This window comes from Homo sapiens, chromosome 8 (genome assembly GCF_000001405.40).
Source record: "Homo sapiens chromosome 8, GRCh38.p14 Primary Assembly".
NCBI classification, from domain to species: domain Eukaryota; kingdom Metazoa; phylum Chordata; class Mammalia; order Primates; family Hominidae; genus Homo; species Homo sapiens.
In genome coordinates, this window is record NC_000008.11 from 72240215 (window position 1) to 72252409 (window position 12195).

The 12195-nt window shown below is 39.2% G+C and overlaps 1 pseudogene across 1 annotated transcript in view; it reads right to left on the bottom strand.

The window, feature by feature from the left end:
* TRPA2P (transient receptor potential cation channel subfamily A member 2, pseudogene) overlaps positions 1-11420 on the bottom strand; it is a 48883-nt pseudogene extending 37463 nt beyond the window's left edge. The window contains exons 1-4 of the transcript NR_033867.2: positions 11241-11420; positions 7294-7450; positions 4635-4815; positions 456-563 (exon numbers count right to left, since the gene is read on the bottom strand). The product of NR_033867.2 is annotated as a transient receptor potential cation channel subfamily A member 2, pseudogene (transcript). The remainder of the gene's footprint in view (positions 1-455; positions 564-4634; positions 4816-7293; positions 7451-11240) is intronic.
* Between the last annotated feature and the right edge of the window lie 775 nt (positions 11421-12195).

The window sequence follows — 12195 nt, forward strand, 5'->3', positions numbered from 1 at the left end:
GGTTTTCAGGAGTGGCTATGCTTCTTTTGGCTTTTATTTTATGGGCCCGATAAGTCTGGAACTGATTATATTCATCTTTCCTTTGACAATTCAGAAGCTCAGAATCGAACGTGCAAACCATCTTTATAAGATACAGGCCATTATACTTTGTATTTCGCATTCTAGCCTGACCACCAGCTTCATCTCAATTTTTCCTGCCTATATTTTCTTTTCACTTTGAATTTCTCATAGTTTTCATTACCGCTTTACTATTCGTCCTCTAAAAGCAATCTCAGATCCACTTAAGACAGGGAGTGTGTACACAAAAACACATAGAACAACTTTTTTTCTGACATAGTTTCTGTATTTTATGTTTTTCTAAGGAGAAAAACTCAACAGCTTTTGTAAATAATAATAATCCATGTTGTATTCATGAAAAGATAAAGAAAGCAGAAAGATATGACAAATATGCAAACCAAAATCTGCAGTGCTTCACTATTATTTTTGGTGCATGCGATCATCACAGCTGTGTTTCCATTTTCTCCTTCCAAATTAACATCAGTACTTCTATGCTCAAGCAAGACCTACACAAAAGTGGAGAATAATTGTCAAAATTTTACAGATTTCCAAATAAAATACTTGTCTTCCACTAGATTTTAAGTTCTCAGATGCCAAGGACCATGTCTATTTATCTTTTTTCATACTTCTCCCACACAATCTGGCACAAAATTCTGCATACTGTGGGTACTAAATAAATTTCTCAAATAGATGAAATAATCATGATTTCAATGTCACAACAATTAAGGTGATAATGAGTTGTAGCATTGTAAATACTAATTGTAGATACTAGTTATCATAGCTTCACTTAATACTTCTGACTAGTATTAGGTGAAGCTATATTAACTAATATTTTCAGAAAAATAAATTTGTGGAGCCATTTAGAATGTGTTCGCAGTGAAGGAGGAAGTCAGGAAGGGAAGAAGGAAGAAAGTAAGAGCAAGAGAGAGAAGGAGGGAGGGAGGGAGACAGGAAGGGAATAGTTTTTCTCCCCCTGCCAGTCATTTTTCTTTTACTTAGATTGCAAGCATCCTAGGAAATGTCAATGGAAACTCTTTTCAGTAAACAAAACAGAGTTTTGCATAACACTTTGGTAAGACTTAACTCAATTAATTCAAACTTGGTCTGCAATGGAAACTTTTTCTACAATGTAAGAAATTAGCGTCCTGGCCGAGCACGGTGTCTCATGCCTGTAATCTCAGCACTTTCGGAGGTTGAGGCAGGTGGATCACTTGGGGTCAGGAGTTTGAGACCGGCCTGGCCAACATGATGAAACCCCAACTCTACTAAAAATACAAAAATTAGCTGGGCTTGATGGTGCAAGCCTGTAGTCCCAGGTACTTGGGAGGCTGAGGCAGGAGAATTGCTTGAACCCGGGAGGCAGAGGTTGCAGTGAGCTGAGATCATGCCACCACACTCCACCCTGGGAGACAGTGCAAGAAAAAAAAAGAAGAAAGAAAGAAAGAGAGAAAGAGAGAAAAAGAGAAAGAGAGAGAGAGAGGGAGAGAAAGAGGAAGGGAGGGAGGGAGGGAGGAAGGAAGGAAGGAGGGAAGGAAGGAAGGAAGGAAGGAAGGAAGGAAGGAAGGAAGGAAGGAAGGAAGGAAGGAAGGGAAAAGACAGAGAAAGAGAGATAAGAAATTAGCATCCTGATAAAATGGTCAAGTAATTTTTCTGATAGAATTTCATTGAAGACCTGTTACTGCCTCACCTGGTTGACGGCCAGCTGATTATTGCCCAAGTGTCTATAGATCTTTGACCAGTCTTTTTTTTATATTCAATGTAACAAAATTATCTCATCTAAATATCTTATCAAATCTTGAAATTGGCCTACTAGAGGCTTTTTCTCTTGCAGAAAGACTATGATAAACAATGGCATGTCCTTATAATTAAATAATGTTAAAAGAATTTATTAAATAAGCTGTTTCTCAAAAACATTGACTTCTTTAAAAAAGTATACAACCTTTTACCAGAGCCTCTTGTTAACAGAACATGCCCCATGTGAGTGTCAGTAAATGAATTAGGTTTACTAATTAATTCTGCTCATAAATGAAAATTAAACTGAGATTTTAGTACATAAAAATACGTGGGAAAATGATTGATGAATTAAGGGAAATGAGAACACAAGATTCCTTCCATGGACTTTAGGCACCTTTGCATTCTCTTCTTAAGAAGCTGTAGATTCATATGGAAAATAACCTATCATAGAAGAGGCTTTTCTCTCTTTGCCCTCTTAGAAACATAGGCCACAAAAGTGTAGCATTAGGCTGTTATTACTGTACCACCAAAAGCACAATCTTTCAAAAAGCTGTGTTCAGTTATATGTGGCAGAGATACCAGAGAGAGCAACTAAACTGTGCACCTACTCCAAATTCAGTCATGACCAAGCAAGTCTGGAAAGTTCGGAGATGAGCCCTCCATAGGTCCCTTTGATGAGAATCTGGAAAGCCTCATGGAAGGGTCAAACAACTGGATACTTTGAAGTAAAGCCCCAAGGACTAAGGCCTATAGGCCACTGAGAGAAAAAACCACCCCCTAATCCCCAGGCCAATGTGTCCCAGGGAATATTATGCATACCATAAATCATTTGTTGAAGAACTTGAAGTGATGCGTGGATGACAGCTTTTTACTTTACAACCATTATAGGCAGCAGAGGAAGGTTTGAGGGAAGGTTAGTGGAGCAGCTTCTAAACTGGCAGGGGCTGGGTGGGTACAGGCTGGACCATGGGTATAACAGGGAGAGGCAGGTAGAGAGGACTGCTGTTTGCAAGCATGAGGGGAGACATTCCAAAACACGTTCTCCTCCTTCTATTCCTGTCATCTCTGGTGAACCAGAGGAGTCTGAAAATATTTTTACACATAGTTGTGATTGGTAAGAGCAAGTAGGGGAGAGTCAATTTTACTTAGAACTCTATTTTTCTGCTTGTTCTGGTGTCATCAGGAAAATTTGTTTTATGTTCATCACTGAATTTATGAATCAGTTAGGAGCTTTATTTTCTATTTCTATGTGATACCTATCTTTCTGAATGTGTTGGTCTGGAGGTTTCTGCTTTCTAATAACAATAGTCTTTCAACAGTTGTCTGTCTTCATATTCCCAAACCACACTTTCAGAGCCAATATTAATTGAGTTAATAGGTATTTGTTCTTAAAAAGAGCCTTCAGAGGGAGCACAGAGCTCCATGAGGAAATACGTGACATCTCTGTGGGAGTCCCTGCAGTCATTAGTGGCCCAACCTGGATGATATGGAAACAACAGTTGGCTCATGAATAATGCAGATATTTAATAAAACAACAAGAACAACAATAAAAACCAGCTTGTTTCCAGAGGACTTTCTAGTAACCTCTTCAGGGAGCCACTCTGACCTATCTCATAGGTACTGAGACTTCAGCTCGCCCCTTCTGAGTCAGCCAGAACTCGAATTTAGTCATTCATTCATCATTTGCCACCACAGTGCTGAGGAACAAGAGATATTTGGATTAGCAAGACACAGCCCTCTTTCAAGGATAATTACCCAGTGCGCAAAAAAAGCACCTGAATGTTTGATTCCAATATCATGTGTTAAGAATTTTGATAAAGCCATATACAAGGAACAGTAGGAAAGCAGAAAGTGGCTCCTCTAATACCCTTCATGCCAAATGTAAAGGAGCCAAGGTCTCAGAAGGCTGAGAGAAAAGGTTTTTGGGCTAAAGAGAGCCAGAAACTCATGCATCTCTTTGGCGATTTATAGAGAAGTTGGTTTTCTTGTGGCTTACCACAAATAGCCAAATCATCATTTGCAATAATATTTCTACAAGAAAATTTATTGTAAGTTCCAAATAAGCCTACCTTAGAAATGAACTTCTGGAACATGATCCATTTGTAAACTCCATTCTTCATCAGTTAAACATGTTTGTATTCTAGTGTGTCTGACAGACTTTGAGAGGTAGTTTAAAAGCCATGGCCTAATTTTTACCCTTTAGCAATTTTCCAGGATTTCCTCTACTTGATCAAACTTATTGTTACACCTTGAAAACCAATAAGATGTCTCCCAATGGTATTGTCATGTCTTCAGCGAACTAATCTAACAGGCCATACACTCTAACTAAAACAGCAAGTCATACTTATGTTTTCTGCTTTCACTGAGGCTCTCAATACCTTCTTCCTTTGTCATTACATCAGTCAGGTAAAAGAGATAAAGCCTAAACTTGAAAACATAAAGATGAAAACAAAATTCCTTAGTCTTGCTGTTTTACTTGTGATGTGCCATTAGGCAAGCTATTCAAATTCTTTTGGCACCTCAGCATACTCAGCTATGAAATGGGAATACTAGTATTTTATTAGATCTTACTTCATAGAGGGCTTATTTAGATGAGAATTCAATAAACGAACATGCACAAAGCTCTTTAAAGGTGCTTGGTAAATAAGAACTGTTCAATAAAGTTAGAACTAATCATCATTATCAACATTAGTTGGTGAGAAGTAGAGCAAATGTAATTATTACATATCATTTGACCTGGAAGCTCAGAAGGTGCTCATCCTGGTGCAGGCAGAGAGAGCTGGATCTGGGTACCAGCACCTGCGCCGCTGGTCAGGCCCTTTGGAGCCAGCCAGTAGCCTTACCTTCATCACCTCATTGTTCATGCCCAGCACAGCTACGTGGAGGGGCGCAATCATGTTGAAGTTTTGGAGGTTTGGGTTTGCTCCTCTGCTGAGTAGAAACTTAACGCTTTCAATTTGGTTTTCATCTACAGCACAGTGCAGAGGGCTATTCCATAATCATCCATAATCATTGCATTCAGCACTAGAAAAAGAAACCAAAATATGGGTTAGATTTTGCTCAACACCTCTTGAGTGCCTATCCACTGCAAAACTCAGTGCCAAGTGCAACTGAAATCAGCTGCATCTTTTCTATGGAAACTAAAAACACAGCTTCAATTCTCATGAAACATTTAATGGGCACCTAATGGGAATATATAGAAGCATGGCACTGACTTTATCAATTGAGTTAAATTTCTATCCATAGCAGTCATAAGAAAAAGATCCTCCAATTGCTACATATTTTTATCTATATGAGTTGGGGTATTGTGATAAAATATTGAGATTACATAAAACAAAGAACTATATACTGGGCACTCTACTAAGTTCACGTGACCATTATTTCTTTCAAGCCCCAACAGCCTGCTAGGCATCACCATGACAAATGTTCAGGAGGAAGATGCTGAGGTCCAGAGAGGTTAAAAGTCTTGCCAACATCACAGAGCCAGTAAGGAGGTATGGTTACCATGCCTCTCTGAACCTCAGCTTTCTCGTATTCAAAATTTGTAAAAAAAAAAAAATACAAAACATATATTCATATGCCTACACACACAGAGAGAGAGAGACACCTTGCAATGTTGCAGTGTTATTGGGACAATAATATTAAATCGTGTCTTCAAAGATCACAGTGGAGTGCCTGGCCTGTAGGAATGGCTCAGAAAATGTTAATAAGAAAAAAGACACACCACTAATAAACCACAAGACTAGAATTCGAGCTTGAGTCCCTGATGCCACACCGGCTTTCCATATATTTCTACAATACGATATATGGCACTATTTATCCTGTGAGCTCAGCATACAAGTAATAGGTCCTTTCATCCTGCAAAGTCCTATAGCTATTCTAAAATGGACATATCAACCTTGTAAATTAGTGGCAGTGTTATCTTTATGTCCACAAAAGGAGAAAAAGTATTGTCTCATAAACATGATTTGGGGACCATCTATGGTACTTGGAACCATGTAGCCACATTTTCTGTTTCTCTCCTTTTTAAAATATATCTCTCCACTATTTCCTTTTATTCATCTAAGTGCTTCATTCTAAACAACACACATACATGCATGGACACACACACACATCTCTTGACTGTTCCGTCTGATCAAGAAGAATCACTCCATTCATCATTCCATTTGGCACCAAACTTAAACAGGGATCTATATTTACAAACTCCCATTCACTAATTAAATAACTTGAATTTCACTTTTATCCTCATCACTTTTCAGAAATCATTTTTACAGAAGTCACTGGGGCCTTCTAATGTAGGGGCTTTATCGTGATCTCCTTCCTACTGATCTCTTTGTGGCAAGAGCTCCTTCTAACTCTTCTGTCCCAGTAACTTCTCCCATGGTTTGAGTATCATCAATTTTTATCCATCACTATCTTCATCTTTTTCTGGCTTTTCCTCTGCTATCTCTCTCTTGGTGTTTGTACTCTACTCTTAGCTACCTTAACTAGCAATTTTGTGATCCCCTAAAGTATTTTCATGCATTTCCACTGTCTCATCGACTTCCTATGCAATCATGCTCCTGTAGGGCAGACCCTTTCATTCTACATTTCTGGATATTTCCAGATATTATTGAAGATTATAGATATTGCCCGCTGGATATTTCCAAGTGGATGTCCCCTGGGCCTTTCAAACTCACAGTGACCAAATCTCACACCTTCGCACTCACTTACTTTTTGTTTTCTCATATTCCTCCTTTTGGGGGATGTTTATATTATTAGCCTAATCTCCTAAATTTAAGAATTTCAAAGTCAGTTCCAACTCCCTGCCCCTTTCTCTTCCCATTTACTCTGCTGTTAAGCACTGTTGACTTTACATGCCAATATCTCTTGAACCTCTCCCTGTCTCCTTATTGTAGCCTCACAAACCTGGTGAACTTTTATCCTCTGTTTACTACCAAAATAGCTTTTTAGCTTGGCTTCCACTTCTAATCCATCTTCCACAATATTGATGGAATTATCTTATATAGTGAAGGTCTTATCACACCATCTCACTGCCTCCATCTCTGTGGCATCCACCTCCCTCATTGCCTGCAGTTGAACTGCTTAAACAAGGCAGAGTGTACAAGGCTGGCATCTGGAAAATATCACTGGTCGGGGGATGTTACACCTTCTTGAAGTGTCCATTTTCTTCAATGATAATAATTTAGGTGTAGAATAACCTCAATGGAAATAGTGTAGAAGAGTACATAAATATATATGCATTTTTACAATCTACCTAAAAATTCAAATAAAGTCTGTGCTTATTGTGGGGTGTCCTAGATCTCTGCACTATGTTTTGCAATATTTCAGTAGAAGAAGTTGAGGAGTGCTGGTGTGTAGGAAAACCCACATTTCTAAGTGAAATATACAGGCTCTTTATAATTGAAACTAATTACCCTTAAGAATCACTTTATTCCACTCTTCCCAGTGAATTGAATGGGATAAAAGATTTCTAGAAGATGCATTGTAATGTTTTGTTACCTCCAGGAAGGAAATCTTCAGAGAACATCTCCATCTAGTCGAATTGACCTTTTCCTACAGCATATTGTGAAGAGAAGGCGTTCATGTCATCACAATTGTTTAATATCTTTTGTTTCTTAAAGTTTTGTAATCCATATGCACTTCCTTCAAAATCCTCCTAGAGGTATTTAAACACCATTACAACAAACAAGCATATGCAAAACTTATGACTATAAAGTTAATCATTTTATAGTCTTAAATAATTTATTATCCAAAACTCTTTATCATGCTTATAATAAAGTAAAAGTTTTTCTTGAAATACACAAAATATTTACAGATACAAAGAAGGTATGAAAAAATGCCCCCAAATTGTTCAGTATATGAAATAAATGTTTTTATTTTTTGACCATAAACTCATATATGCTTAGAAATAAAGGCCTTCTTCTTTGTTGCCAAGGAAATGAAGAAATCTTCCCCAAACAAATGAATCAGATACTTGCTTAAATTCTACCATTGACCATAACTAGTCACATATGCCACATGATAATATATGTGTTCAAATTCTAGTTTGTTATTTTAAGGATAACTAGAGCATTTCTCACTACTGAAAAGAAAAGCTATCAATTAAAATGATGTATTAAAGTATTTAATGTATCTTAATATAGCTAAGAAATGATTTAAGATATGAGGATTTATTCAGTAAATGTCAAATTGGAATAAATAAAACTTAATTTCTTAAATTTTTGAACTTTGGATTTTGCTTCTAGAATCACAAAACAGTACTTAACAAATCACTGTTCTATAGTAGTCTCTTAAACTGATATATGTTACTTTTTAACCAAAAAAAAAAAAAAGAATTCTATATAAGCTACATATGGCTTTAGTGACTATAGGATATGACAATGAGCATCCAACCACTTCCAAATTTACACATATTCAGTAATAAATTTAAAATGGGATTATTGTAGAAATAGGGTATTCTCATGTCTCATGCTATCAAAGAAAATGTTGATCTAAATCTATTTAGAAGCATTCTGGCACTTGAATTTGATACGCTATTTGGGTAATAAAGAGATTGTGCTGCCTACTCCCTAGTGCCAGAATGAGCAGTTTGGGATGTCTGTTCAGCGATGTGCTGTCAACACAAACCCAATTCCACACTCTTTAGAGGGAGTACTAGGTTCAGATGCTCACAAGGCACTATTGAATTCACAATAACAAAACAGCATCTAAATACTTTACACGAGCATATCAGATGTACTAGATCTTCTCAATCAGTAGCTAAGGTATTGTCAGGCTTTGAAAAGATTTTTTAAAGTTCTGAAAGTAAGCCAAGGATGTCATTTAGACAAGTTATATATTCATTTAATGTAGTTTCATGTTGTCACAGAGTCACTTCAGATTCCTTATGATTCAGACCTATGTGATTAGATTCAGAACATAATAGACTAGATCACTTTTAGATAAGCTAATTCTAACTAAACCCCTTAAAACAGAAATATCAAACGCATCTGTTTTAGGTTGCTTTAATGAAATACATAAAAGTAGCAATGTGGCCAAAAGGTTGGAAACTAAGGTGAGAGATAACAATTGGAAGATCAAATGCTGAAGTATTCACTATCTTGAAAGAAAATAATTGGAAAAGGCTAAAAGCATCAGTCCAATTGTTCTTTTTCCACATTTCTCATCTTGTAAGTTTTCTGTGATCCTTCAGTTTTGTTAGTGTTCCTGAGATACTGTGTATGTGCTGGAGAAAATATGTTATACAGCTTTTCTTTTAATTTAGGAAACCACCAAAAACCCTCTAGAGTTCAAAAAACCCTTCATGGTATTATATATGTTTCTTTGTAATGAGTACAACCACTGAGATTTTTACAAGATGATCTGAAAGTACCACAGTTAATGAAATAAAATATATAAATCCCTCAATCTACAAACTCAAATAAAAAAATAAAAATAAAAAGCCTTAAATAACGTAAGTGGTTCTACTTAGGCAATAAATCTAAATAAGGACAATTAGAAACATGAAGAAAAATAATTTTGAGACTTGGTGCTGAGAAATCCCTCAGTAAATATCTCTAGAAAATGAAACCACAGGCCAGGCATGGTGGCTCATGCCTGTGATCCCAGCACTTTGGGAGGCTGAGGCGGGTGGATCATGAGGTCAAGAGATTGAGACCATCCTGGCCAACATGATGAAACCCCTTCTCTACTAAAAATACAAAAATTAGCCAGGCATGGTGGCGTGCACCTGTAGTCCCAGCTACTCAGGAGGCTGAGGCAAGAGAATTGCTTGAACCCGGGACGTGGAGGTTGCAGTGAGCCGAGATCATGCCACTGCAGTCCAGCTTGGCAACAGAGCTAGACTCTGTCTCAAAAAATAATAATAATAATAATAATAATAATAATAATAATAATAAAGAAAAATAAATAAATAAATAAAACCACATGGGTGATATTAGAAATTTAAAATTTCTTCCAGTCCCATATTAATTGTAAAGATACTATCCTGGAGGGTGAAATCCATTCATGACTCTGTTCTCTGCAATAAGCCAAAAGGCCACAGTTACCTTGCTAATATTAAGAAGGACAAAAAATGTCTGTGGTCAAGGTGGATATGCCAACAGACTCACCTTGGGAGGCCTGGCTACTTGGTGTGTGTGATTTACTATACATGCCTGATTCACACACACAGCTGGCAACAGTGCCAATTTGTGCAACCTATTTAGAGAGCAATTTGGCAATTGCTACCAAACTTAAGGCTGTATGTACCTCTTGACCCTGCTAGGACTTTAACATACAGACAGTCCCGCAAAAGTAACAATGGACAGACAGAGAAGTCACGTCTACGCTCACAGACACACTCAGTCAGGTGTATAATAGCAAAACAAAGCAAACATAAAACAGCCTGAGTGTCCATCAGTGCAAGACTGGTTAAATAAATCATGATCTATTCATACAGTGGGATGTTATGAAGCTGGTAAAAACAGGTAAATTTCCAAGTGCCGATTTAAAATGTATTCCAAAATATATTTTGTGAGTAAATCAAAGTGGAAATCTGCGAGTTCATACTTTTGCAAATAAAAAAAGATCCATTAACATATGCGTTTTTGTGTAAGCATTTTTTTTAACCTGGAAAATACATAAGAAACTGTTAACATGATTCCACTGTTGAAAGAGATTTGTGATGAGGGTTTGGAGAGTCTCTTTAATGTTGTCTCAACATTTTAAAAGAGCCCCTTTCTCCTGTTGACAATCTGATGAAATCCAGTGGTGGGCTCTGAGCACCCAACAGCCTCTATCCCTTAGACTAAGCCATCAGGTAGTAGCTAGTGCTGCCTTTAGGTCCCGAGAACTGCATAACAAACAAGTACCTATCCTAGAGCCTTAGGCCACTCATCCAACTTCAAAAGGTCACCTCCTCCACAGCATTTCCTGACGTCTCCATCCCCTGAAGAAGGAATTCGCCAGTTCTGTCTCCGTTTTACAGGGGACATTTTCTCTGGTTTCTCTGTTTCACTCTGTTAGACCAGAAGCCTTCTCAACCCCCAAAACTCTTAAATAGTTATCCGACGACAATCAGACACAGCCTTTCGGCTATTTGATTCTAAACAAAATCTACAAAAAAGTTCAAGTGAAACGACACACATTCCAAATTGCCCTGATTTTAGGCAGCTGCCCGATCTTGTGCCAAATGATACAGATACTTTTGGAGTAGGTTTCCCTGGACTACAGTTGTCCAGGAGCAAGAATAGATTGGGCAAACAAGCAAACAAAATAGATAAAGCAGGCGCTGTGTGGGCGCGTCATTAGCGGGGTCTCCTCTTGGACTGTGAACACACCCCAAAGCTTGCAACCCCCTGGCCACTCCACGCTTTCTCCAAACCAAGGGCTGCCCGCAAGGAAACCTCGAGCCGAACCGCGGCCGGACTTCAGAACCCGTCCCGACCCGCGAACCCCCAGGGTACCTTAAGCGGTTCCTTGCAGTCCTCCGTGTCGTCCCGCACATCCTCATAGACAACGCCCTGGGGCTCCTTCTTTTCTCCAGGGCGCCACATCTTCCTCGGGCTGCGCTTCATTGACCCCACCCCGGACGCCATCTGGTGCATCTGCTCCCCACGAGCGCGGGCACCTGGGGCGAGAGAGCGCTGTCAGCCGGCCAGGCGCTGGGGTCCGCGCGAGCCCGAGCTCTCCCTCGCTGCAGCTCACAGGCAGCGAAAATCTCGCTCCGCGAGAGCCCTGGAGAACTTCTGGAAGGAGTTCTCAGGCCCGCGCTACTTACAGTGCAGGAAGCAAGCGGGGCGTGAAGAGGAGGTAGAAACACAGACCTCCCTAGCAAAGAGGGAGGCGGCGCAGCGTCTGCCGAGGACTCGCCCCTTCAGGAACAAAGTGACTCCCCCGTCCCGCTGTCCTGCAGCTGCAGCAGCGCACTCCCAGAGTCAAGCGTGTCAGGTCGGTGTGGATGCAGCGAATTTGTTGTAATCTACACATTAAGAGCCCCCTTGCCTCGCCCTGCCCCCTCCAACCGTGTGTGTGTGTGTGTGTGTGTGTGTGTGTGTGTGTGTGTGTGTGTGTGTGTAAAGAGACAGGACGAGAGAATGACAAGGTACATTGGAAAGTTTTTTAGTTTTCAGGATTTTTTTCCAACTAAAATTCTATGGACCTGTGTTTCCCTCCATGTGCACCTCCTTCTGGGGGCCTCTTTGGTATGGAAATAAGGTTTTTAGCAAAACTTCTCATTCCAAACATTTGGGAGAATAGCTAAACCCTAGCACTGGTTTGAGGGACCAGATTAAGTCCTCATGAATCTCAGGTCCCATTTCCTGCGGATAATAATATTGATCCCCGTCATGCCTTGGTGTTTAAGGGTGGTTAATAAAAAGGTTAGGTTAAAGGTAAGCCACTGCTGACTGGTGTGTTTGT